The following is a 23,176-nucleotide window of genomic DNA, read 5'->3' as shown; positions in this document are numbered from 1 at the left end:
ATAGCTTTTGACACCAGGCTAAAGACAGGCCTACTTTGAAACAGCCCTTCTAATCTGACCTTTAGGAAAACCCAAGGCTGCAGCGCTCAGAGATCAGTGTGTGCATCAGGGAATGGTCCTCCCAGCAGACAGGTGGTGCCCGCCACCATGCCCGGCTAATCCTCAACAACACTGCAGCAGCCAAATCCAGGTGTAGGACTCCCTGCGGGCCTGGTGGTGGCTGCTCACCTGCTGTGACTCAACCTTCCTCTAAACCTAAGGATTCCAAGGACCTTCCTGGATAAGGGCATAGGCCCTGTGGTCACTCACTTCCCACTGAGTTGTTGATGGCTTCCTGGGCTTTCTGAATGCCAACTCTGAATTCCCGATCAGGCCTCAGCTTGTAGCCTCGATGATAGAATACCAAGGCAAACTCAAAGTCTCCCATGGTGTACAGTGTCTCAGCCTTTTGCAAAATCCCCTGGAATGGGAGGAAATCAAATCAATGTGAACAGATAAGGCCTTATAGGACTCACATGTGGTGGAACAGAAGGGTCCTGGGTTGAAGGTCAAGGTTGGAATACAGGGGGCAGGGACTTAGGCAATGACCTAGGAAGAGAAAATGGCATCAAACACTAGGCAGTCTGGCTGGTTCTACTTGTAACAACTACTTGTAACCAGAAGTTGCTACAGGCAATGGCAGGATCCAGTCCTCCCGCCCATGCAGTCACCTTACAGAAAGCTGGGTCACTCTGGAGCGAAGCCTCAGCATCCTTCAGGGATCTCTCCAAGTCTCCCATCTTCAGGAAGCACTTTGAGCGAGCAACCAGGCAGTTCTTGTCTCCATCCTGAAGGTAAAGAGCCTGACAAAGAAACCAGTCAGGTTGACAGCCAGCATGAAGAGCAAGGTAGAAGCTGGAGTGGGAAGGGCAGCCCAAACCCTCCTGCAGAGGGGATTTCTTCAGGCTCTGAAGAAATCAAGGCTCTGAAGAATCAAGGGGATTCTTCAGGCCAGCACACAGGCCTCTGGCTCCTAAGCAGAACAACTCCGATCTGCGCTCAGTCAACTTGATTATCTGCATATGGCTCACCTTGAACAAGGTCAAATCATGGCTATTGTGGAAGCCACTGGCTGAAGAGTAGGAATATGCTGCTCTGTGGATACGCTGACTTTCCACCAATGTCTGAGAGCCCCTCAGTCCCCTCAGGCAATAGAACTGTAGGGTATTTTGTGCACACCAAACTCAACTACAAACCTGAAATGGCAACACATCATACTCAAAGCAAATTTCAAAGGCTAAGCATTCTGAAGTGGACTTGAGGACAATCTGCCATGTGGCTTAACCATTCCAGTAGCCTTCTCTTTTTATGTAGCTAATCAAGAACTAATCACTATATCCGGGGATTAAGATGAAAATACCAGGAAAAGGCTGGGAGTGGTGGCTCACACCTGTAATCCCAGCACTTTGGCAGGTCGAGGTGGGCGGAACGCTTGAGCCCAAGAGTTTGAGACCAGCCTGGGCAACATGGCAAAACCCTGTCTCTACGAAATACAAAAAAATTAGCTGGGCGTGGTGGTCCATGATTGTAGTCCCAGCTACTCAGGAGGCTGAGATGGGAGGATTGCTTGAACCTGGAGAGGTCGAGGCTGCATAAGCCATGATCACACCACTGCACTCCAGCCTGGGTGACAGAATGAGACTCTGTCTCAAAAAACAAAACAAAACAAAACAAAAAGAGGCCGGGTGCAGTGGCTCACACCTGTAATCCCAGAACTTTGGGAGACCAAGGTGGGTGGGTCACTTGAAGTCAGGAGTTTGAGACCAGCCTGGCCAACGTGGTGAAACCCATTTCTACTAAAAATACAAAAATTAGCCAGACATGGTGGTAAGCACCTGTAATCCCAGCTACTCGGGAGTCTAAGGCAAGAAAATCGCTTGAACCTGGGAGGCAGAGGTTGCAGTGAACTGAGATCATGCCACTGCACTCCAGCCTGGGTGATGGAGTGAGACGCTGTCTCAAAAAAAAAAAAAAAAAAAAAGAAAGAAAGAAAAAAGAAAGAAAGGGAAAAGAAAAATGAAAAACAAGAAAGAAAAAAAAAAAAGAAAATGCTAGGAAAATGAAACTGATTTTGACCCTAAAGTGGGGTTGAGGGCAATATCCCCACTCCCAGTGTCCTCTTTTCTGTGTGAGATGATTACCATAGTCTGTGGTGTACTGTCCTTCCTGAGGCATCTAACTGTACCCACCCCCCTTTTTCTTTTTTGAGACAGAGTCTCACACTGTCACCCAGGCTGGAGTGCAGTGGCACGATCTCTGCTCACTGCAATCTCCGAGTCCCGGGTTGAAGCAATTCTCCTGCTTCAGCCTCCCGAGTACCTGGGACTACGGGTGCCCGCCACCACACCTGGCTAATTTTTTTTTTTTGAGATGGCGTTTTGCTCTTGTTGCCAAAGCTGGAGTGCAATGGCACGATCTCGGCTCACTGCAACCTCCGCCTCCCGGGTTCAAGCAATTCTCCTGCCTCAGCCTCCGGAGTAGCTGGGATTACAGGCACTCGCCACCACGTCCGGTTGATTTTTTGTATTTTTAGTAGAAACAGGGTTTCACCATGTTAGCCAGGCTGGTCTCAAACACCTGACCTCAGGTGATCCACCTGCCTTGGCCTCCCAAAGTGCTGGGATTACAGGCATGAGCCACCTGACCTGGTCTTTTTTTTTTTTTTTTTTGAGACAGAGTTTCACTCTTGTTGCCCAGGCTAGAGTGCAATGGCATGATCTTGGCTCACTGCAACCCTCTGTCTCCTGGTACCCACCCCTTTCTAAGACCTTCCTACTTTTCTAAGAAGAGGAAGTAGCTACTGTCTTTCTGGAAAGTGACTGCTTCTCATCCAAGGCTACCCTTCCCTCAGGGTGTTCTTTTTTCTCTGCTGGTGGGTACTTCAGGATGGGACATGATCCAGCAGGAGGAGAATAAGTGGGGACAGGGCTACCGAACTCAATTGTTCACTTATCTGGTCATCATTTCTGGTTTTAGGGTGTGGTTGGTGACTGAAAGGGACAAACGACTCTGGGGAGCTGTTGAGAAGCTTGATCTTACAGGAAGTCTCAAAACTACAGGGTTATCCTATCACTCCATCTAGAAGAAGAAGTGGGCAATTTGGAGCAGAAGAAGTGGGCAATTTGGAGCAAAAGAAATGGTCATAAAAACATGTTTTTAGGGCACTGTATCTCATACCTGTAATCCTAGCACTTTGTGAGGCCAAAGCGGGAGTATTACTTGAGCTCAAGTGTTCAATACCAGCCAGGGCAACATAGCAAAACACCTATCTCTACAAAAAAAAAAAAAAAAAAGAAGAAAAGAAAAAATTAGCCAGGCGTGGTGGCATAAGCCTGTAGCTCCAGCTACTTGGAACACTAAGGTGGGAGGATCACTTGAGCTCAGGAGTTTGAAGCTGTATTGAGCTGTGATTGTGCCACCACATTCCAGCTTGGGAGACAGAACGAGATCCTGTCTCTGAAAAAACAAACAAACAAAAAAAAAACAACAGTTTCCTTATGCAGATGTCAGATGTGTAGTTTTGTGGTTAGCACCTCAGCATTGGAGTCTGAGCCCGGCTTTGAATCCTTCCTCTGCCACTTGCTAGTTTAGCGACCTTGGGCATGTTGCTCAACTTCTGTATATTTCCTAATCTATAAAATTGAGTATGCACTGGGTGGGGTGGTTCACGCCTGTAATCCCAGCACTTTGGGAGGCTGAGGTGGGGGGGGATCACCTGAGGTGGGGAGTTCGAGATCAACCTGACCAACATGGAGAAACCCCGTCTCTACTAAAAATACAAAATTAGCCGAGCATGGTGGTGCATGCCTGGGATCCCAGCTACTCGGGAGGCTGAGGCAGGAGAATCGCTTGAACCTGGGAGGTGGAGGTTGGGGTGAGCCGAGATTGCGCCACTGCACTCCAGCCTGGGCAAGAAGAGCAAAACTCCATCTTAACAACAACAAAAATCCAGTCTGCTTAGCAGTGTGCCTGAGGCTGAGGCAGGAGAATCACTTGAATCCAGGAGGTGGAGGTTGCAGTGAGCCAAGATCGCACCATTGCACTCCAGCCTGGAGACAGAGCAAGACTACGTCTCCAAAACAACAACAACAACAACAACAACAACAACAAAAACCATCACCCAATCCCCTTAGGGTGGGATGATGCAATTTATACTAGGGTTACTATAATAATGTTGCTGGTTGGTGCAGCAGCTCACCTCAGTAATCCCAGCACTTTGGGGGGCCGAGGCAGGTGTATCACTTGAGGTCAGGAGTTCGACACCAGCCTGGCCAACATGGTGAAACCCTGTCTCTACTAAGAATACAAAAATTAGCCAGGCGTGGTGGGACATGCCTGTAATCCCAACTACTCCCTAGGCTGAGGCAGGAAAATCGCTTGAACCTGGGGAGGCGGAAGTTGCAGTGAGCTGAGATCTTGCCACTGCACTCCAGCCTGGGCAACATAGCAAAACTTTGTCTCAAAATTGATAATAATAATCATATGTTGCTTACTGGCCACCTTTTATAAGCAACGGTGTGCTGGGGACATTGAGGCTTCTGCATGCAACCTCCCATCCAATCTGCCAGCAAATGATGGGAAGGTAAGGCTGCTCTGTGGAAGGAGGCCGGTTAATCATGAAACATTTAAGTAAAAGTGGAGGAAAAGGTCACTGTTAACGCAGAGAATGGAGATTGCAAGTGGGAACTGGTAGAAAATGGCCAACCACAGGGCTTATCTGTGACAGCAGTGTGTCCATCAAAAATCAGTGAATAATAGAAACAACAGGGTCCTCCAGGCATCATCAAGACCTCAGTGTTATCTGCAATCAAAAGGTGAGGGCAGGGGGCAGGCGCAGTGGCTCACGCCTGTAATCCCAGCACTTTGGGAGGCCGAAGCGGGTGGATCACGAGGTCAGGAGTTCGAGACCAGCCTGGCCAACACAGTGAAACCCCCATCTCTACTAAAAAGACAAAATAATTAGCCGGGCATGGTGGCACGCGCCTGTAGTCCCAGCTACTTGGGAGGTGGAGGCAGGAGAATCACTTGAACCCGGGAGGCGGAGGTTGCGGCGAGCCGAGATCGTGCCATTGCACTCCAGCCTAGGCAACAAGAGCGAAACTCCGTCACAAAAAAAAAAAAAAAAAAAAAAAAAAAAAGTGACGGGTGATGGGGTGATGGATAGGTTGAGAGCTCGACTCACGTTGCTGAAGCTCTGCGCGGCTTTAGAAAATTCCCCGCACAGGTAGAGCCGCTCGCCTTCGGCCATATAAGAGGGAAAGGTGCTTCGCAAGGTCTCGCCTTCGGGGTCCGACATGGTGACCGGATTTAGAGACGCTAAAGCAGAGACAATCAAAGAAAAGCTGGAGAACCTCTATCTGGTTTGTGGAAGCTCCGTTTCTTAGCAACCATGAGATGTACAGCGACTTCCGGTTCCGCCCCCGTCTGGCAAGGGCCCGGATTCTGGGTACAACCTGCCGGCGTGCGCTTGCGCCAGTTCTGCCGCGCACTGGGCCAGGGAGTGATGATTGCGTGGCTGACGGCTGGGCTGGTTAGTGTTTGCTGTTGCACGCTCTGGCGGTTCTCTCTGGAGTTGCTGCCTGAAAAGGCTCCCTTGTAAGACAGCCAAGAAAACAGGAAGAGGGTTGGAGGCAAAGTTCCGAATAGGGATGAGGCATACGTGGTAAGGATATGTGCACGGCGTACCGCCATTAGGGGGAGAGAGCACTGGGCTTGGAGTCAGCAGACTTGGGCTGACTTCGCTCCTGTCACTTCCTAACTGCGTGACCTCTCGCGGGGCATGTAAGGGCTCCCAGCCTCGAATGTTCCACCTGCCAAATAAATATGAAAATAATGGAACACTCAGGGATGCGAGGATTTGCATAAGAAAACATGGAAAATAACGTTGGGTTCAACATAATTTAACGCAGTTATTTGAGCAGCTACTAGTAGCGGGCCTTGACCAAGGCATATTCTGACGTCCTTCCCCATTCCCTCACCATCACCACTCCTCCAAAAGTGGACTAGGTGCTTCTTCTGGGCTCCAACGATACCCTAAGTAGCTTGCTTAACTGCCTTTACTACGTTACTTCCAAAACGTCCTAATGTCATTGTTAAAGTTTAAATAGTAAAAAGATGTCTTTAACTACAAATGCACACACACACACACACACACGGCATACATGTAAAACTGGGGATATTTGAGTAAGATCAGTGGATTGTATCAGTGTCAATTTTCTGGTTGTGTTATTGTACTAAAGTTTTTAAGGATGTTACCATTGGGAGAAACTGGGAAAAGGGTACATGGGATCTCTTTTGTATTTATTTCTTATGAACTGCATATGAATCTATGATTATCTCAAAAGGTTTAATTCAAAATATAAGAAATAATATGGTCCCTGCTTGAAGGAGTTTTATCTAATAGGGGAGAAAGATGTATAAACAAGTAACGGCCACTTAAGTGATATTAACTAGTAATTAAAAGTTCTGTGTGCCTGTGAGGGAGATGAGGACAAAGTGGTGTGAAACCCAGGCAAATGAATGATTCAGCCAGGGTCTGGGATGGGTTAGAGACATGTTCATAGAGGGGTAATATTTGAGCTGAGGGTGAGTATGGTGGAGCCCAGTAGACGTAAGTAGAGAATGAGAGCTAGGTGTGGTGGCTCATGCCTGTAATCCCAGTACTTTGGAGACTGAGGTGGGAGGATCGCTTGAGCTCAGGAGTTCGAGACCAGTCTGGGCAACATGGCGAAGCCCTGTCTCTACCACAAATACAAAAGTGAGCTGGGTGTGGTGGCGTGTGCCTGTAGTCCCAGCTACTCAGGAAGCTGAGGCAGGAGGATCACTTGAGCGTGGGAGGTCGAGGCTGCAGTGAGCCATGTTTGGGCCACTGCATTGTAGCCTGTGTAACAAAGCAAGACCCTGTCTCAAAAAAAAAAAAAAAAAAGGAAATAACATGTGCAAAGGCTGGAGGTGTGTACATTCACAGGGTGTTTAAGGAGCAGCAACAGGTTTAAGGACCTGCAGTGAAACTGGTCCTGTTCTAAGTTAAGGTGGGCTCATTGATGAGTTGAGGACTGTTGCTGGAGCAACCAGGATTAATCAGAAAAAAACCTCCTGCAAGGAAGAGATCTACAGATTCAGTGCAGTTCCAATCAGAACTCCAGCAGCTTTTTTTTTTTTTTTTTTATGGTGGAGTCTCACTCTGTCACTCAGGCTGGAGTGCAGTGATGTGATCTCGGCTCACTGCAATCTCCGCCTCCCGGTTTCAAGCTAGTCTCCTGCCTTAGCCTCCTGAGTAGCTGGGATTACAGGTGCACACCACCATGCCCAGCTAATTTTTTGTATTTTTAGTAGAGATGAGGTTTCACCATGTTGGCCAGGCTGGTCTTGAACTCCTGACCTCAGGTGATCTGCCCGCCTCAGCCTCTCAAAGTGCTGGGATTACAGGCATGAGCCACTGTGCCTGGCCCCAGCAGCCTTTTTTTTTTTTCAGTAATTAACAAGCTGATTTTAAGATTTATGTGGAAATGCAAAAGACCTAAAATAGCCAAAACCATTTTGAAAAAGAAGAACAAAAGAGAACTTAAATTCTGTGATTTCAAGACTTATTTTAAAGCTACGGTAATGGTATTAGCATAAATATGTAAATATATATGGATTAATGGAACAGAAATAGATCCACACATATATGATCAATTGATGTTCAATGAAGTTGCCAAAGAGATTCAATGGAGAAAGGATACTCTTTTCCACAAATGTGTGCTGAAGCAATTGGATAGCCATATGGAAAGACAAAATCCAAAATAAAAAACCTTGATCCTTACCTCACACTATATACAAAAATCAACTGGAAATATTTTAATGTAAATATGTATTTAATTAATTTTTATTTTTATTTTTTGAGAGAGAGTTGGCCTTGTCCACCAGGCTGGAGTGCAGTAGTGAGATCTTGACTCACTGCAACCTCTGCTTTCTGGGCTCAGGCCACCCTCCCACCTCAGCCTCCTGAGTAGCTGGGACTACAGACACGCACCACCACACCCAGCTGATTTTTGTGTTGTTTTGGTAGAGACAGGGTTTTGCCATGTTGCCCAGGCTGGTTTTGAACTCCTGAACTCAAGCAATCCTCCCACCGCGGCCTCTCAAAGTGCCAGGCTTACAGATGTGAGCCACCATGCCTGTCTAAATATAAATATTGAGTTTTTTTTTTTTTGAGATGGAGTCTCACTCTGTCACCCAGGCTGGAGTGCAGTGGCGTGATCTCAGCTCACTGCCACCTCTGCCTCCCAGGTTCAAGTGATTCTTCTGCCTCCGCCTCCCAAGTAGCAGGGACTACAGGTGTGCACCACCATGCCCGGCTAATTTTCATATTTTTGGTAGAGACAGGGTTTCACTGTGTTAGCCAGGCTAATCTCGAACTTCTGACCTCAGGTAATCCACCCACCTTAGCCTCCCAAAGTGCTGTGATTACAGGCATGAGCCACTGCGCCTAGTCTAAACCTTGATCCTTACCTCATACCATATACAAAAATTAACTAGAAATATTTAAATGTGGCCGGGTGTGGTAGCTCACACCTGTAATCCCAGCACTTTGGGAGGCCCAGGCGGGCAGATCAAGACCATCCTGGCTAACACGGTTGAGCTATGATCAGGCCACTGCACTCCAGCCTGAGCAACATAGTGACATCACATCTCAAATAAAATACAATTCTAGAAAATGCAGACTAACTGCCTGGGAACATGGCAGTAGGGAAGTGAGGGGTAGATTACAAAGGAGTACAGGGAAACTCATGGAGGTGAGGAATATGTTCATTATCTTGATTGTGGTAATTGTTTCACAGGTATATACATGTATTAAAACTCATCAAATTGGCCAGACATGGTGGCTCAAGCCTGTAATCCTAGTACTTTGGGAGGCTGAGGTGGGTGGATCACCTGAGTTCGGGAGTTCAAGACCAGCCTGACCAACATGGAGAAACCCTGTCTCTACTAAAAATACAAAATTAGCTGGGCGTGATGGCACATGCCTGGAATCCCAGTTACTCGGGAGGCTGAGGCAGGAGAATCACGTGAACCTGGGAGGCGGAGGTTGTGATGAGCCAAGATCGTGCCATTGCACTCCAGCCTGGGCAACAACAGTGAAACTCCATCTCAAAAAAAAGACCAAAAACCTCATCAAATTGTACACTTTATGTGCAGTTTATTGTACATTAATTATATATTAAGAAAGCTGTTTTAAAAACACAATAAGGCCTGGCGTGGTGGCTTATGCCTATAATCCCAGCACTTTGGGAGGCCGAGGCGGGCGGATCACCTGAGGTCAGGAGTTCAAGATCAGCCTGGCCAACATGGTGAAACCCTGTCTCTACTAAAAATACAAAAATTAGCCGGACATGGTGGCAGGCACCTGTAATCCCAGCTACTCGGGAGGCTGAGGCACGAGAATCGCTTGAACCTGGGAGGTGGAGGTTGCAGTGAGCCAAGATCGTGCCATTGCACTTCAGCCTGGGGAACAAGAATGAGATTTCATCTCAAAAAAACAAAACAAAACAAAAACCATAAAATACCAATCATAATGTGTGCTTTCTGGCAATTTATAAAGCACTGTGAGCTTGACAACACCCTAGTGAAGTAAAGAGCCAGTCAGTGGTTTCCTGGTTTCACAGATGAGAAACTCTGAGGCTGAGAGAAATGACAAGGTTTGCTCCAGGCTACAGCACAAGGATATAAGTGAGCTGGGTTGGGGCCTATTCCTTGGGTTCGATTAGCAGGATAAAGAGTGCTAGAATTGGATTCCAGTGTGTCCCAGCCATTTATAGCTATGTTCCTCATGTTATTGCTTTATTTCTTCTTTTATTGTGAAATAGAACATAAGTAAATAAACATACATGTCTGGCCGGGCGTGGTGGCTCACTCCTGTAATCCCAGCACTTTCGGAGGCCAAGGCAGGCAGATCACCTCGAGTCGGGAGTTCAAGACCAGGCTGGCCAACATGGTGAAGCCCCATCTCTACCAAAAATACAAAAATTAGCCTGGTGTGGTGGCACACACCTGTAATCCCAGCTGTACCAGAGGCCGAGGCAGGAGAATCACTTGAACCCGAGAGGCAGAGGTTGCAGTGAGCCATGATCACACCACTGCACTCCAGCCTGGGCGACAGAGCAAGACTCTCTCTCAAAAAAAAAAAAGTACACCTATGTAGTCATCACACAGGTAAATCAAGAAACATATTGCTAGCAGGGGGTCCTGTGAAAGGCCTCTCTCCACTCACAGCTCCCTCTCCAGGTAACTACTGCCTTCACTGTGAGCCCTCATCATCTCTCTCCTGGATTACTTCAACATCCTTCTAAGTGGGTCTCCTTGGCCTCCCCTCCCCCACTTCCTTCTCAACACAACAGTCAGAAGATTACTTTTATTTATTTATTATTTATTTAGACAGAGTGTCTAAATAAAGGCTGGAGTGCAGTGGCACAATCTCGGCTCACTGCAACCTCCACCCTCCTGGGCTCAAGCAATCCTCCCACCTCAGCCTCCCCAGTAGCTGGAACTACAGGTGCATGCCATCACACCCTGCTAATTTTTGGGTTTTTTTTTTTTTTTTTTTGGTAGAGAAGGTGTTTTGCAATGTTGCCCAGGCTGGTCTTGAACTCTTGAGCTCAGGCAATCCTCCTGCCTTGGCTTCCCAAAATGCTGGAATTACAGGCATGAACCATCATGCCTGGCCAGAAGACTCCTTTTATTTTTTTATTTTCATTTATTTATTTATTTTGAGACAGAGTTTCGCTCTGTCGCCCAGGGTGGAGGGCAGTTGCAGGATCTCGGCTCGCTGAACCTCCACCACCCTGTGTGGTGGTGGGCGCCTGTAACCCCAGCTTCTTGGGAGGCTGAGGCAGGAGAATCGCTTGAACCCAGAAGGCAGAGGTTGCAGTGAGCGGAGATCGCGCCACTTCACTCCAGCCTGGGCAAAAGAGTGAAACTCCATCTCAAAATAATAATAATAATAATAATAAACTCATTCAGAGATAAGTTTAAACGTGTCATATGTAAAAGTCAAGGGTAAGTGATTTATGTGTGTGGGAGGGGCTGCACAGGTTCTTCCTGAAAGAGGAGGGAATTTTATAGGAACATACCTGGTGGGGAGGAGGCAGTGGCAGTTTTTGAGAGAGAGTCAGAATGGAGTGGGGGTGACTCTGGGAAGGGGCCAGCCTGGACCTGGTTGGGCTGCATGGAGAAACTTTATTCCCTGAGCACAGATGCTGCATCCCCAGAGAGATAACTGCTGCCCAGGAGTGGAACTAGCCATCCCTCCAGCTTCCCTGGTGGCAGGCAGCCTCTGTCGGGTTAGAGAGAGGGGCCCTGGCTGCATCTCCCTGGAGAGCCTTCCCCAGGACACACAGGCCCTTAGCTCTGATGGAAGGTTTGTCAGTACTGGGCAAAAGTGAGTGGTGCGGAAGTTAGAATCCTTGGCTCTTCACAGGGTGGATGATGATGGGGCTTTGCTGGAAGCTCCTGTCTTGGGCTGTTACAAGGAGAGAGGTGGGTTTAGAACTGGATACTCTACATAAACAGAAAATGCATTTGAAAAAAATAGTAGCCGGGCACGGTGGCTCACGCATGTAATCCTAGCACTTTGGGAGGCTGAGGCGGGCGGATCACGAGGTCAGGAGATTGAGACCATCCTGGCTAACATGGTGAAACCCCATCTCTACTAAAAATAAAAAAAAAAATCAGCCGGGTGTGGTGGCACGTGCCTGTAGTCTCAGCTACTTGGGAGGGCGAGACAGGAGAATCACTTGAACCCAGGAGGCGGAGGTTGCAGTGAGCCGAGATCACGCCACTGCACTCTAGCTTGGGTGACAGAGCGAGACTCAGTCTCAAAAAATAAATAAATAAAAAATAAATAAATAAAAAGAAAAAAATAGTAGAACTGGGCCGGGCGTGGTGGCTCACACCTGTAATCCCAGCACATTGGGATGCCGAGGCAGGCGGATCATGAGGTCTGGAGTTAAAGACCAGCCTGGCCAACATGGCGAAACCTCATTTCTACTCAAAATAGAAAAATTAGCTGGGCATGGTGGCGGGCACCTGTAATCCCAGCTACTCAGGAGGCTGAGGCAGGAGAATCGTTTGAACCTGGGAGGTGGAGGTTGAAGTGAGCCCAGATCACACCATTGCACTCCAGCCTGGGTGACAGGGTGAGACTCCCTCTCAAAACAAACAAACAAACAAACAAAAAAATAGTAGAACTGGACACTTAGGTAGACCCTTCTCCAGGCTGCATCTCCTCCCTCCTCTCCCTGCCCTTCCCCTACAATTGCTTTCTTTCATTCACATATTATAAGAGCCTTTTTTTAGTCATGTTTACAGTGAATGCTTAATATGTGTCCAGTCCCATGCTAGGCACTGGAGATGCCAAAATGAACAAGGCACTCTCCTAGGCCTTGGGTTGCTTACAGTCAGATAAAGGAGATCCACTGGATAGGATCTTTCCCTCTTACTCACCTGCAGCAGGTTGCAGGGTACAGGCCCAAGGACTTGGAGTCTGAAGATCATTAGGTTAGTTGATCATAGGCAAAATGATGAAAACACTTAGTTAGCTCAAGTGGCTGCTGTGAGTAGTATGCCTTTCACATAGTAGGTGCTCAATAAATATTAACTAAAATTGGTCCAAATCTAGGAGGAAGTCCTTAGCCAGTTTTAGGCTTCTGGAACCCAGGTGGAATGCCCAAACCTGGGCTTGGAGATGGTGCCTATAACCCTCTGTATTCTGATAGGGACCTGTCCTCTAGTCCAGTCTAGAAGAGGAGGGAGGTGATTCAAATGGGAAAATCAAAAGAGTTTAGAGCTTTTATTTTATTTTTTATTTTTTGTAGAGATGGGGGTTTTGCCATGTTAGCCAGACTGGTTTTGAACTCCTGAGCTCAGGCAGTCCACCCGCCTTGGCCTCCCAAAGTGTTGGGATTACAGGCGTGAGCCACTGCACCCAGCCTGGTTTAGAGCTTTTAAGTTAGAAAATAGAATGATGAGAAGATGGGTTCTAGATTGATTAATTCAAGGCAGATGAACCTCTGTGGGTGCATGGTGGGGTAATGAGAGAGTCTTACTTGAGGAGGCTGGGCGTTGGGGGCAGAAACTTGGTATGAGACCACTGAGTGAACTGGAAAACCTCAGTGGCTGGCTCATGGGCCCTCTGGCCAGCACCTCTTCCCCCTCACTCTCTGGACAGTTATTTTTTGTTGTTCCTGCCCAGGAATAGTCAAACTTAGGCCTAGCAACACCTAAATGGAGGACAATCATTCAGCAAACATTTATTGAGTACTTACTGTGTAACCAGTCCCTATTTAAACTGCTAGAAATACAGCAATGAAGAAAATAGACAAAGATCCCTATCTTCGTCATGCACATACGCAAGTATATCTGAAGGATAAATTATTAGAAGTGGAATTACTGGACCAAAGGGCAAGTGAATTTAAAATGTTTACTGATATTACCAAATTGACCTTCAAAGAGTTTATTATATTTTATGTCCCGCCTGGATGACCATTTCCCCAGGAGTGTATTTGTCTTTCTTTTTTTTTTTCTCATACAGGGTCTCACTCTGTCACCCAGGCTGATGTTCAGTGGTGCAGTCACGGCTGACTGCATCTTTTTTTTTTTTTTTTTTTTTTGTCTCGCTCTGTCACCCAGCCTGGAGTGCAGTGGCGTGATCTCGGCTCACTGCAACCTCCGCCTCCTGGGTTCAAACGATTCTCCTGCCTCAGCCTCCTGAGTAGCTGGGACTACAGGCACGTGCCACCATGCCCGGCTATTTTTTTTGTATTTTTAGTAGAGCTTGGGTTTCACTTTGTTAGCCAGGATAGTCTCAATCTCCTGACCTTGTGATCCGCCCGCCTCGGCCTCCCCAAGTGTTGGGATTATAGGCGTGAGCCACTGCACCCAGCCAGCCTCCCGAGTAACTGGGATTACAGGCATGTGCCACCACATCCAGCTAATTTTTTGTATTTTTAGTAGAGATGGGTTTTGCCATGTTGGCCAGGCTGGTCTCGAACTCCTGGCCTCAAGTGATCTGCCTGCCTCAGCCTCCCAAAGTGCTGGGATTACAGGCTCGAGCCACCGTGCCCACCCAGCTCACTGCGTCTTTGACCTCCTGGGCTCAAGTGATTCTCCCACCTCTGCCTCCTGAGTAGCTTGGACTACAGGTGTGTGCCACCATGCCTAGCTAATTTTTTTTTTTTGAGACAGTGACTCACTATGTTGCCCAGGCTGGTTTTGAACTCCTGGACGCAAGTGATTTTCCCACCTTGGCCTACCAAAGTGCTCGGATTATAGGCGTGAGCCAGCATGCCCAGCTGCCCAGCTAATTTTTTATTTTTTGTAGTGACATAGACTCACTGTATTGCCAAGGCTGGGTTGGAACTCCTGGGCTCAAGCCCTCCTTGGCCTCTCAAAGTGATGGGATTACAGGCCTGAGCCTATGCACCTGGCCTCCCAGGAGTATTTCCTTCCTTCCTTCTTTCTTTTCTTTTCCTTTTTTTCTTTTTTGTTTTTTTTTTTTTTTTCTGAGACAGGGTCACACCCTGTCGCCCAGGCTGGAGTGCACAATCTCAGCTCACTGCAGCCTTGATCTCCTGGACTCAAGTGATCCTTCCACCTCGGTCTCCCAAGTAGCTGGGACTACAGGTGTGCACCACCATGCCCTGCTAATTTTTGTTTATTTTTTTGTTTTGTTTTGTTTTGTTTTGAGACGGAGTCTCACTCTGTGGCCCAGGCTGGAGTGCAATGGCACGATCTCTGCTCACTGCAACCTCTGCCTCCTGGGTTCAAGCAATTCTCCTGCCTCAGCCTCCCAGGTAGCTGAGATTACAGGCACCCGATACAGTGCCCAGCTAAATTTTTTTTTTTTTTTTGCTTTGAGATGGAGTTTTGGTCTTGTTGCCCCCGCTAGAGTGCACTGGTGCGATCTCGGCTCACTGCAACCTCCGCCTCCTGGGTTCAAGCGATTCTCCTGCCTCCGCCTCCTGGGTTCAAGCGATTCTCCTGCCTCCGCCTCCTGGGTTCAAGCGATTCTCCTGACTCAGCCTCCTGAGTAGCTGGGATTACAGGCACCTGCCACCACGCCCAGCTAATTTTTTGTATTTTTAGTAGAAACAGGGTTTCACCTGTTGGCCAGGCTGGTCTGGAACGCTTGACCTCGAACTCAGGTGATCTACCCACCTAGGCCTCCCAAATTGCTGGGATTACAGGCATGTGAATCACCACGCCCGGTCTTTTTATTTTTTGTAGAGATTTGATGGTGGTGGTGGGGGCTCTTACCATGTTACCCAGGCTGTACTTGAACTTCTGGGCTCTAGCAATCTGCCTGACTTGGCCTTCCAAAATTCTGGGATTACAGGCATGAGACAGCATGCCTTGCCTGGAGTGTATCTTTTTTTTTTTTTTTTTTTTTTTGAGATAGAATCCTTCTCTGTCACCCAGGTTGGAGTGCAGTGGTGCAATCTCACCTCACTGCAACCTCCACCTCCCGGGTTTAAGCGATTCTCATGCCTCAACCTCAAGAGTAGCTGGGATTTATAGGCGTGTGCCACCATGCCTGGCTAATTTTTGTATTTTTTGTAGAGATGGGGTTTTGCCTTGTTGGTCTTGAACTCCTGACCTCAAGTGATCCCCCACCTTGGCCTTCCAAAGTGCTGGGATTACAGGTGTGAGCCACCAAGACTGGCCACCCCCATTTTAGGACAAGAGAAGAGAGGTGATAAGGAACTGCTATTTCAAAAAGATGAATGGGAGGGAAGGGACCAGAAAGTGACATCATCAGGGAACACTTGATTCAGGCATGGGTAGCAAGTTCAGTTACCTTACTCCTGGCAGCAACAGGATTGGGGGAGGGGGTCTTGGAGAAGATTTTGTCTGCAAATGTCGCAACACTGTTGCAGTGTGAGTATGACCCAAAGTGCTTGGCAGGGGGACAGGCCTGCTGCTTCCCTGCATTCTGGGCTGACCTCTTCACCTGAGTCGGTCAGTGGACGCTTTTGGCCTCCTTCCTGGAGCTAGACAGCTGTTAGGCTTAGGGAGCAGCTCCGGACCTACAGGGTTGGGGTGCAGGTAGGGAGGGAGGCTGCAGCATGTCAGAGTGGTAAATACATGTCCTGATTTCCAGGACTGATTTCACATATTCTGCCCCACAAGTTCACCAGCACCTGTCAGATTGGATGTCCCAGTTTTTGGTTTGGAAAATTCGATCTGTCTCAGGTAATGGAGAAGGGGGAGACAGCAGTTCATTCATTCCAGTGTCTAAGCCTGTGGTTGGTGGGAACAAGAGACTGTCTGGGATGGCTCCAGCCCTTCGCTGGAATCTCGCATTGAATTCCTAGCTCCGCCCTGATCCGTGCTGAGGCGAGCAGGTGAGTGGGACGGACAGCGCTGTGCCTGCACCCTCCTAGCCCCACTTGCTTACCGCGGCCCCTGCCTTATCCCACACTGGGAAGTATGCTCTGTTAGCCTCGGCTCAGCCTTGCCTCATCGGCCCAGTGGGGAGAGTCCAGGGAGGAGAGAGGCTCCACGTGCTAAAGGAAAGCGGCCTGCCAGACACTGCTGCTTAAGGAGACTGTCTAAGCAATCGGATTCGGTGCGGCCGAGATGCAGACGTCCGTTTCTCCCAAGGGAAGGAGCAAGGGTACTCCAGGTCCCAAAGCTGCGTTACAGCCAGTTGGGCTAATCCTACCCGCCCCTCCCCCAACTCCCCGAGTGGCAATCTGTCCAGCCCCTCAAGCGATCAGGCCACAACCCCCAGCACCGCGCGTTCTCCTCCCAGCCTAGCCCGGCCCATCTCCCCACCCGGGGCCCCGCCCCGGCCCCGCAGGCTCCCAAGAGGCGGTGGATGGGCCAGCGGGACTACAAGTCCCAGCAGGCCCCGGGGCCCGCCCTCGTGGGGCGGAGCCAAGCCAGCAGCGAATTGGGAGGAGCCCTGGCGCTCAGGCTAGGGAACGCGTGTGGCCAATCGCGGGGCCGTTCTCGCCGCGAGCCGATGGGGGCGGGGAAAAGTCCGGCTGGGCCGGGACAAAAGCCGGATCCCGGGAAGCTACCGGCTGCTGGGGTGCTCCGGATTTTGCGGGGTTCGTCGGGCCTGTGGAAGAAGCGCCGCGCACGGACTTCGGCAGAGGTGAGCACGGGAGGCTGTTTTCGCTGGCTGGAGCCCGCTCGCCCTAGGAGCTTCCTGCCTCCGTCCCCCAACCCGGAACCGCCTTCCCCGACGCGGGCTCGGTGCCCACGCGCCCTGCTCGGAAGTTTTGAGGGTCTTAGCTTTAGGTTAGCCTTCGCCCGGGGTCCCGGCCGGTGGCCGCGTGTCGACGCCCCTCCCCTCCCCCCGCGCGACACACACATATTCCAGTTCCTGGGAGTTTGCATGGGGCTTGCCGCCATCCTTGCCTCTTCTGCCTCTGCCACATTGCATGGTCCCCCTCCTGGCGCGCCTCACCCCTCCCGGGCACAGCTATCGAGGCTCCTCGGGCTCATCGGGACGCCTTTTGGCTCCATCCGGGTTCCCCCATCGGATGCCGGGACGGGAAGTAGAGAAAGCGGTGGCGACTGGTCCCACTCCGATTCCTCACTGGCCGGGCTCAGGCCCTTCTTGGTTCCGTGGGTACAAAATTGAGCTCCACGCCCAAGTGGAGAGAATGAGCTATGCGCGCCTCCGGGGCGGGCCACGCGGGGCCAGGCTGCCCCAGGGTGCCCGAGGCCTCGCCTCGTCTCGCCGCGAGGACTGGAATCTCGCAGCAAGGACCCTCCTCGCACTGGAGGTATCGTCGAGTCCAGCCCCTAAGTGACAGATGGCCGGGGTGCCACCCCACCCTTGAGCTGACGCCAAGTCTGGCCGGGGAAAGGTCCTCAAGGGGCTGGAGGATGCTGCCGCCGCCCTCCTGTCGAGCCTGGCAATGGGCCAGTCCCAGCGCCTGCCGCGGTCTCCAACCTTGGCAGATACCGTGCAGTGCCGAGTTCTGCCGTTATGGGGTCCCTGGAGGTCTTCCTGGGAAGAGGATTTTGGAAGAGACGATAAGGAAAAGTGCACAGCACAGTTTGGCCAGCTAGCCTACTCCTCTCCACCCTTAACTTTCCTCTGTGTTTTCAGCTGGCTCAGCTGAACTAAAATGTGGGGTGAGGGACAGCTGGTAGGTCTCATTTGCCCAGATGGGTGATTTTCACCTCTTAGAAACCTTCCTAAACAGCTTGGGGGGCGGTAGTGGGAAGACCCCTCAGACACTGGACAGCTTATGGCTCCATCCCCGTTCTGACACTATGCCTGCCGCAGTAAGGGGCACTCACAGAATTCTGCCTCTCTAGAATTTACTCCAGGGATTGCCTGTCTTCTCAAAAAATAAATAAATAAATACCTACATACGTAAGTCCCAATCCTGCAGATACTAACCTTCAAATGAGTGTTTTTGTCTTTCCCAGAGGCACCCTTAGTAGCATCCCCAGTGATTCCCTTCCCCTGGCTGTGTCCCAGGGGCGTGTTCTGGGGAACAGGCTTCTTTCATTCAGCCTCCTGTGTGGGCTGCTTCTCTCAGTGTCTGCTAAAAGTGAACTCAATCCTGGGTCACTCACCCGTCTGCAGAAAGACTCCATTCAGCTCATAAGGCCCCTCCCTTAGAGAATGTGTGTATGTGTGTGTTTTCAGGTTCCTTGGCATGATTTCCCCCAAATGGTTTACACATTTAGCTGTTACCAAGTAACAGTTCCTGGAGTCCAAGCTCAGCCCAATCATCTGTTACTTGTTTGACAGCACATTCAGCTACTGGGGAGGCAGACTAAGACGTTCTGGGGAGCGGTCCCAAACCCAGATAGGTATTTGTAGGTATTTGCTGATTCCACTAGAGCAAATATTCTTTTTTTTTTTTTTTTTTTTTTGAGACAGAGTCTTGCTCTGTCGGCAGGCTGGAGTGCAGTGGTGGATCTCGGTTCACTGCAACCTCCGCCTCCTGGGTTCTAGCGATTCTCCTGCCTCAGCCTCCCCAGTAGCTACAGGTGTGCACCACCACGCCCGGCTAATTTTTGTATTTTTAGTAGAAACAGGGTTTCACCATATTGGCCAGGCTGGTCTCAAACTCCTGACCTCGTGATTTGCCCTCCTTGGCCTCCCGAAGTGCTGGGATTACAGGCGCAAGCCACCGTGCCTGGCCGCAAATGTTCTTAACTGGTGGTCAGTCTGTGGGCCATCGGATCATTGTCACAGGTGAGCACCTTGAAACAATATGCACAATTGGATTTGTGTACCTTTTTCTGGGGTTTTTTTCAGTCTCAGAAGAGTCTGAGGCCTCAAAGAGGTTAAGAGCCACTGCCTTAGAGAGACTTTAAGACCTCACTGAAGGCCGGGCGTGGTGGCTCATGCCTGTAAATCCCAGCACTTTGGGAGGCTGAGGTGGGTGGATCACGAGGTCAGGAGTTCGAGACCAGCCTGACCAACATGGTGAAACCCCGCCTCTACTAAAAATACAAAAAAAATTAGATGGGCGTGGTGGCGTGCATCTGTAATCCCAGCTACTCAGGAGGCTGCGGCAGGAGAATCACTTGAACCTGGGAGGCTGAGGTTGCAGTGAGCCGAGATCACTCCACTGCACGCCAGCCTGGGCGACAGAGCCAGAGTCCTTCTCAAAAAAAAAAAAACAAAACAAAACAAAAAAACAGAAGACCTCACTGAACCACTAAAGTTGCGATTTATCTCTACTGAGTCCACTCCCTGGGTTTGTGAGCCATTTGCCTTCTCTTTATTGGTGAATTTGCAGAGGCCTTATTTTTATTATGTTGTATACATTCCTTGTCTCAACCTCCCGTCTCTAAGCCAGAATGCTCTAGTGGCAAATCTCTTGTTTTCTATCCTGTATTATCCCATTGTGTCTTCTCTCCTATCCCCCTTCCAAAGACCCTATGGAGATGGGCTCTTGGACCTGAAATTTGATCTGGGTCTCAAGAAAACTGTGATTTCTCAGCTGCAGGGGTCCATTTTTTCTCCCTTGTCCTTTCCAAAGTTGGGTCTTGTGTCTGTTTTGGAGGTGCCAGGTTCAGGGGACTGTTTTACTGGGAGTCTCAGACTTCTTTCTTCTAGAGAGGCATAGCCCAGGGACTTCCTTTCCCCTGGAGTTATGGAAGGAGTCTGAATTGCTGAGGATGGTCAGCCACTGCCCCCTCCTCTCTGAGTGTTCCTTGATCTGCCCTGGGCTGCACTCTCTTTGGAAGGGGGTGGGGGCTGTACCCATTCAATCTGAGGACCAGTTTTTCTGGTCTGAGTCAAAAATATTGGGAAATGGAGCAGTGGGTGGGGGGTGGAGGACCGTGGGGCAGTGAGGTGGTTGGGACGTCTCTGGAAACTCATACTGAGAAGGAATCTCAAGTCATTCCAGGGGAAGGCCAGAAAAGGGAACATCTCTGAGCCCCTTCCCAGCTACCCCACTTTAGGCAGACACCAGGCTGAATACACCCATTGTGCCATGCTGGATACTAGCTAGGAGGCCGACAGAGGCAGCCAAGCCAGGATGAGAACCTGAAGCCCCACCAGCCTGGCCGATTGGGAGGGGGCGCAATGTAGCCCCTGGAATGTTGGCCTTCTCTGAGTTGGGAACGGAGACCCAACTTCCAGCACGTGTAAACAAGCCGGCTCCTTCACTCTGCCCTCCTTTATTTGTACTTGACTTTTTTCTCCCCCAGCAAATTAAACAGCTTTGCTTCTGGGCTTTGGGGGAGTCAGGAGTGACTTTTCCTGATCCGGCCAAGCTCTTGGCCTGAATTTCCATGCCCACCTCCCCCGATTCCCCTCCCCAGCTCAGTCCTTGAGTTACCCACAGGAGAATGGGTGTATCAGGACAGAGTCTTGGAGAGGGGAGATGATGAAATTCTTATCATAGACTCTTTGAAGTGAAAAGGACACATGGGCCTGGCTCTTGGAAAAATGGTCTTTTCTTGGGCTGGTGTGGATTTTTCTGGGGACCTAGGTGTAAGAGGGTTTGGGTTCGAGTCTTGGGTCATAACCTTGCTTATTATTAGGTGGGCTTCTTGGGCAAGTTATCCTAACGCCTCTGAGATTTTATTCCTCATCTAAGAAATGGGGTTATAAATCTCAGTGTACCTCCCAGAGCTCATATGAGATGAGTTTCTTTTTATCTTTTTTTAGACACAAGGTCTTGCTCTGACACCCAGGCTACAGTGCAGCGGTGCAATCATAGCTCACTGTAGCCTCGAACTCCAAGATGAGTTTTCCTATACATGTGATGGAGGATGGTTTCTGCCTCTTCCTCCTCCTCCTCTCAGTCCGCCCCAGTTAGAAGTGACCACTACAGGGTGGTCCCCAGAGAGGCATCTGTTCTTCTTAGTGAGTTTTGCTCTAAATTAGCAGCTGGATGACGCAGTGGGGCGGGTGGAATGTGCTAAAGGTCGGTTTCCCTGCCCTGTGTCTGCTCCATACTCAGGATTGGGAGGCTAGTGTCCAGGAGAAAAGAGGAGAAAAGAGCTTAGCGATGATCCTCCCCCCTCCCCTACTCCCCTTCTAACCAGGACCTGGGGGTGTGACCCTTTTTGAGGCTAAGTAAACTTGCTGGCTTGGCCATTGGCCCGGTGGTGTGTAAGGGTGTGTATAGGGGTAAATCTGGGTGTGGGGGAGATGAAACCTGTAGGGAGAGAAAGGCTAGCCTTTTGCAATTTCAGCCGTACTCTGCACTGGTCAGAGAACAGAAAGGTGTTTCAGTGTCTGCCCACCTCAGATGGGACCAGCACTCAGATTTGGGTCAAAGCACCGGTTTTCTTGGCCTTCTAGCCAGCTGCCTTTTGCTCCAGGATGAGTGTGGTTGTGGATCAGCTAGTTTGCCTAGAGGGAATGGGGCAGGGTAAGGCAAGAGTCCCAGGGGAAATGGCACTTTTGTTTTTCTCTATCTTCCCTCACCCATTATCTCTGGATCTTCTTCCTCTGCTGGCAAAAGTGCTGCTTGATATCTCTCTTCCATCCCTCCCGCTGGGACAGCATTTTTTCCTTCCTCTTGAGAAAAGCTGAGATCTGGTTTTATTGTCTGGGGGCAACTGGGAGTGGGTCTGCCCTGCTGGGGAAGATAGTGCCTCCACACGCCTGCCCCCTTCTGACCAGCTTCTCTCTCCCAGACAGGTAGAGCAGGTCTCTCTGCAGCCATGTCGGCCAAGGCAATTTCAGAGCAGACGGGCAAAGAACTCCTTTACAAGTTCATCTGTACCACCTCAGCCATCCAGAATCGGTTCAAGTATGCTCGGGTCACTCCTGACACAGACTGGGCCCGCTTGCTGCAGGACCACCCCTGGCTGCTCAGCCAGGTGAGCCCTGCCTCCACTTTGGGCCTTTCTTCCAGGCCCGGGGTCTGAGGAAGAGAAAGCCATTGGTTTGTTGGTGATGCCGATAGGGTCATGGGGTTGGAGGCTGCCAGCAGCAGCTGTGGGAAGCATGCCATGGGCTGAGCAGGGTTTGTGTTCATGCTGAGCCCTGCATGTTGAGGTACCCCAGCATGGTATACCCTGCCATGGGCTTGAAACTGGACAAACTGGTGTCCAAATCAAAGCTGTGTTTATTAACCATGTGGCCTGGGGCAAGCCATTTCACCTCTTTTGAGTTTTAGATTCCCCATCTCTCCAATGGGATAATACTCACTTTGAGCTGTAAAGATTAGCAAGAAGCATTTAGCGTGCTTGGTGCCTGGCACATGGTAGATGCTCAGTAAAAAGTAGGGATGTGCCCTCTCCTCCCCTAAGTGGAGTATATCAGGAATGTATCAAGGCAATTAGGAAGTGTGATGTTGTACTTTGTGAAGAATGGCCCCGACCCTGGAGGGTCAGCCTGGAATAGAGGGCTCTGTTCTTGAGATCTTTGCAGGGCCATTGTTAGAAAGCTCTTAGATTTCCTTGGCAGGGCTCAGAGAGTAAGCCTAGGACTAGTGGTGGTGTTTCTTCCCACTAGGAGGCAGCTCAACCACAAAGGGATGGAGGGAGTTTCCTGGCCCTGGAGATGTATGAGCAGTGGTTAGGGGCTGCTTATTGGGCCTGTTGTAGACAGGGTTCAAGCACAGGGATGGGGTTGACCAGATGACCTCTAAGGTTCCTTGCTGCCTCAAGGCTCTGTCTCTCTGTTTTCCTCTTTGGAACACATGTTCTG

General features: G+C 49.9%; 2 protein-coding genes across 10 annotated transcripts in view, besides 6 other annotated features; one reads left to right on the top strand and one right to left on the bottom strand.

The window, feature by feature from the left end:
• ODAD4 (outer dynein arm docking complex subunit 4) overlaps positions 1–5,442 on the bottom strand; it is a 35,887-nt gene extending 30,445 nt beyond the window's left edge. For 3 of the 5 annotated variants that reach the window (NR_110662.3, NM_031421.5, NM_001350319.2), the window contains exons 1-3: positions 5,222–5,442; positions 711–842; positions 310–460 (exon numbers count right to left, since the gene is read on the bottom strand). Coding sequence is in view for 2 of the 5 variants with exons in the window: in NM_031421.5 (NP_113609.1) it covers positions 310–460; positions 711–842; positions 5,222–5,335 (397 nt within the window). In the remaining 3 variants the exon portion in view is untranslated. Of the gene's footprint in view, positions 1–309; positions 461–515; positions 589–710; positions 843–5,221 lie in introns of all 5 variants that reach the window. The other 2 variants (NR_146622.2, NR_146621.2) reach the window with 1 other exon arrangement.
• Positions 36–616: an enhancer, noted in NCBI's record as "NANOG-H3K27ac-H3K4me1 hESC enhancer chr17:40091696-40092276 (GRCh37/hg19 assembly coordinates)". NCBI's record gives its function as "activates a minimal SCP1, AML or CMV promoter by ChIP-STARR-seq in naive H9 embryonic stem cells {active_cell/tissue: H9 hESC(naive)}" and the evidence as "EXISTENCE:reporter gene assay evidence [ECO:0000049][PMID:30033119]".
• Positions 5,334–5,433: an enhancer, noted in NCBI's record as "active region_12176". NCBI's record gives its function as "activates an Ori minimal core promoter by ATAC-STARR-seq in GM12878 lymphoblastoid cells {active_cell/tissue: GM12878}" and the evidence as "EXISTENCE:reporter gene assay evidence [ECO:0000049][PMID:35858748]".
• Positions 5,416–6,319: an enhancer, noted in NCBI's record as "H3K27ac-H3K4me1 hESC enhancer chr17:40085993-40086896 (GRCh37/hg19 assembly coordinates)". NCBI's record gives its function as "activates a minimal SCP1, AML or CMV promoter by ChIP-STARR-seq in naive H9 embryonic stem cells {active_cell/tissue: H9 hESC(naive)}" and the evidence as "EXISTENCE:reporter gene assay evidence [ECO:0000049][PMID:30033119]".
• The window catches only part of ACLY (ATP citrate lyase), a 63,629-nt gene continuing 45,966 nt past the window's right edge, over positions 5,514–23,176 (top strand). For 2 of the 5 annotated variants that reach the window (NM_001303275.1, NM_001303274.1), the window contains exons 1-2: positions 17,037–17,179; positions 22,159–22,344. In NM_001303275.1, coding sequence (NP_001290204.1) covers positions 17,045–17,179; positions 22,159–22,344 — 321 coding nt within the window. In that variant the 5' untranslated portion in view covers positions 17,037–17,044. Of the gene's footprint in view, positions 5,702–17,036; positions 17,180–22,158; positions 22,345–23,176 lie in introns of those variants that run through there. The other 3 variants (NM_198830.2, NM_001096.3, XM_005257395.2) reach the window with 2 other exon arrangements.
• Positions 5,614–5,703: an enhancer, noted in NCBI's record as "active region_12175". NCBI's record gives its function as "activates an Ori minimal core promoter by ATAC-STARR-seq in GM12878 lymphoblastoid cells {active_cell/tissue: GM12878}" and the evidence as "EXISTENCE:reporter gene assay evidence [ECO:0000049][PMID:35858748]".
• Positions 16,726–16,985: a silencer, noted in NCBI's record as "silent region_8505". NCBI's record gives its function as "represses an Ori minimal core promoter by ATAC-STARR-seq in GM12878 lymphoblastoid cells {active_cell/tissue: GM12878}" and the evidence as "EXISTENCE:reporter gene assay evidence [ECO:0000049][PMID:35858748]".
• Positions 17,466–17,705: a silencer, noted in NCBI's record as "silent region_8504". NCBI's record gives its function as "represses an Ori minimal core promoter by ATAC-STARR-seq in GM12878 lymphoblastoid cells {active_cell/tissue: GM12878}" and the evidence as "EXISTENCE:reporter gene assay evidence [ECO:0000049][PMID:35858748]".

The sequence above is a fragment of the Homo sapiens genome, chromosome 17 (genome assembly GCF_000001405.40).
Source record: "Homo sapiens chromosome 17, GRCh38.p14 Primary Assembly".
NCBI lineage: Eukaryota > Metazoa > Chordata > Mammalia > Primates > Hominidae > Homo > Homo sapiens.
Note: the sequence above shows the minus strand (reverse complement) of the source record. Positions and strands in the feature narration are given on the sequence as shown.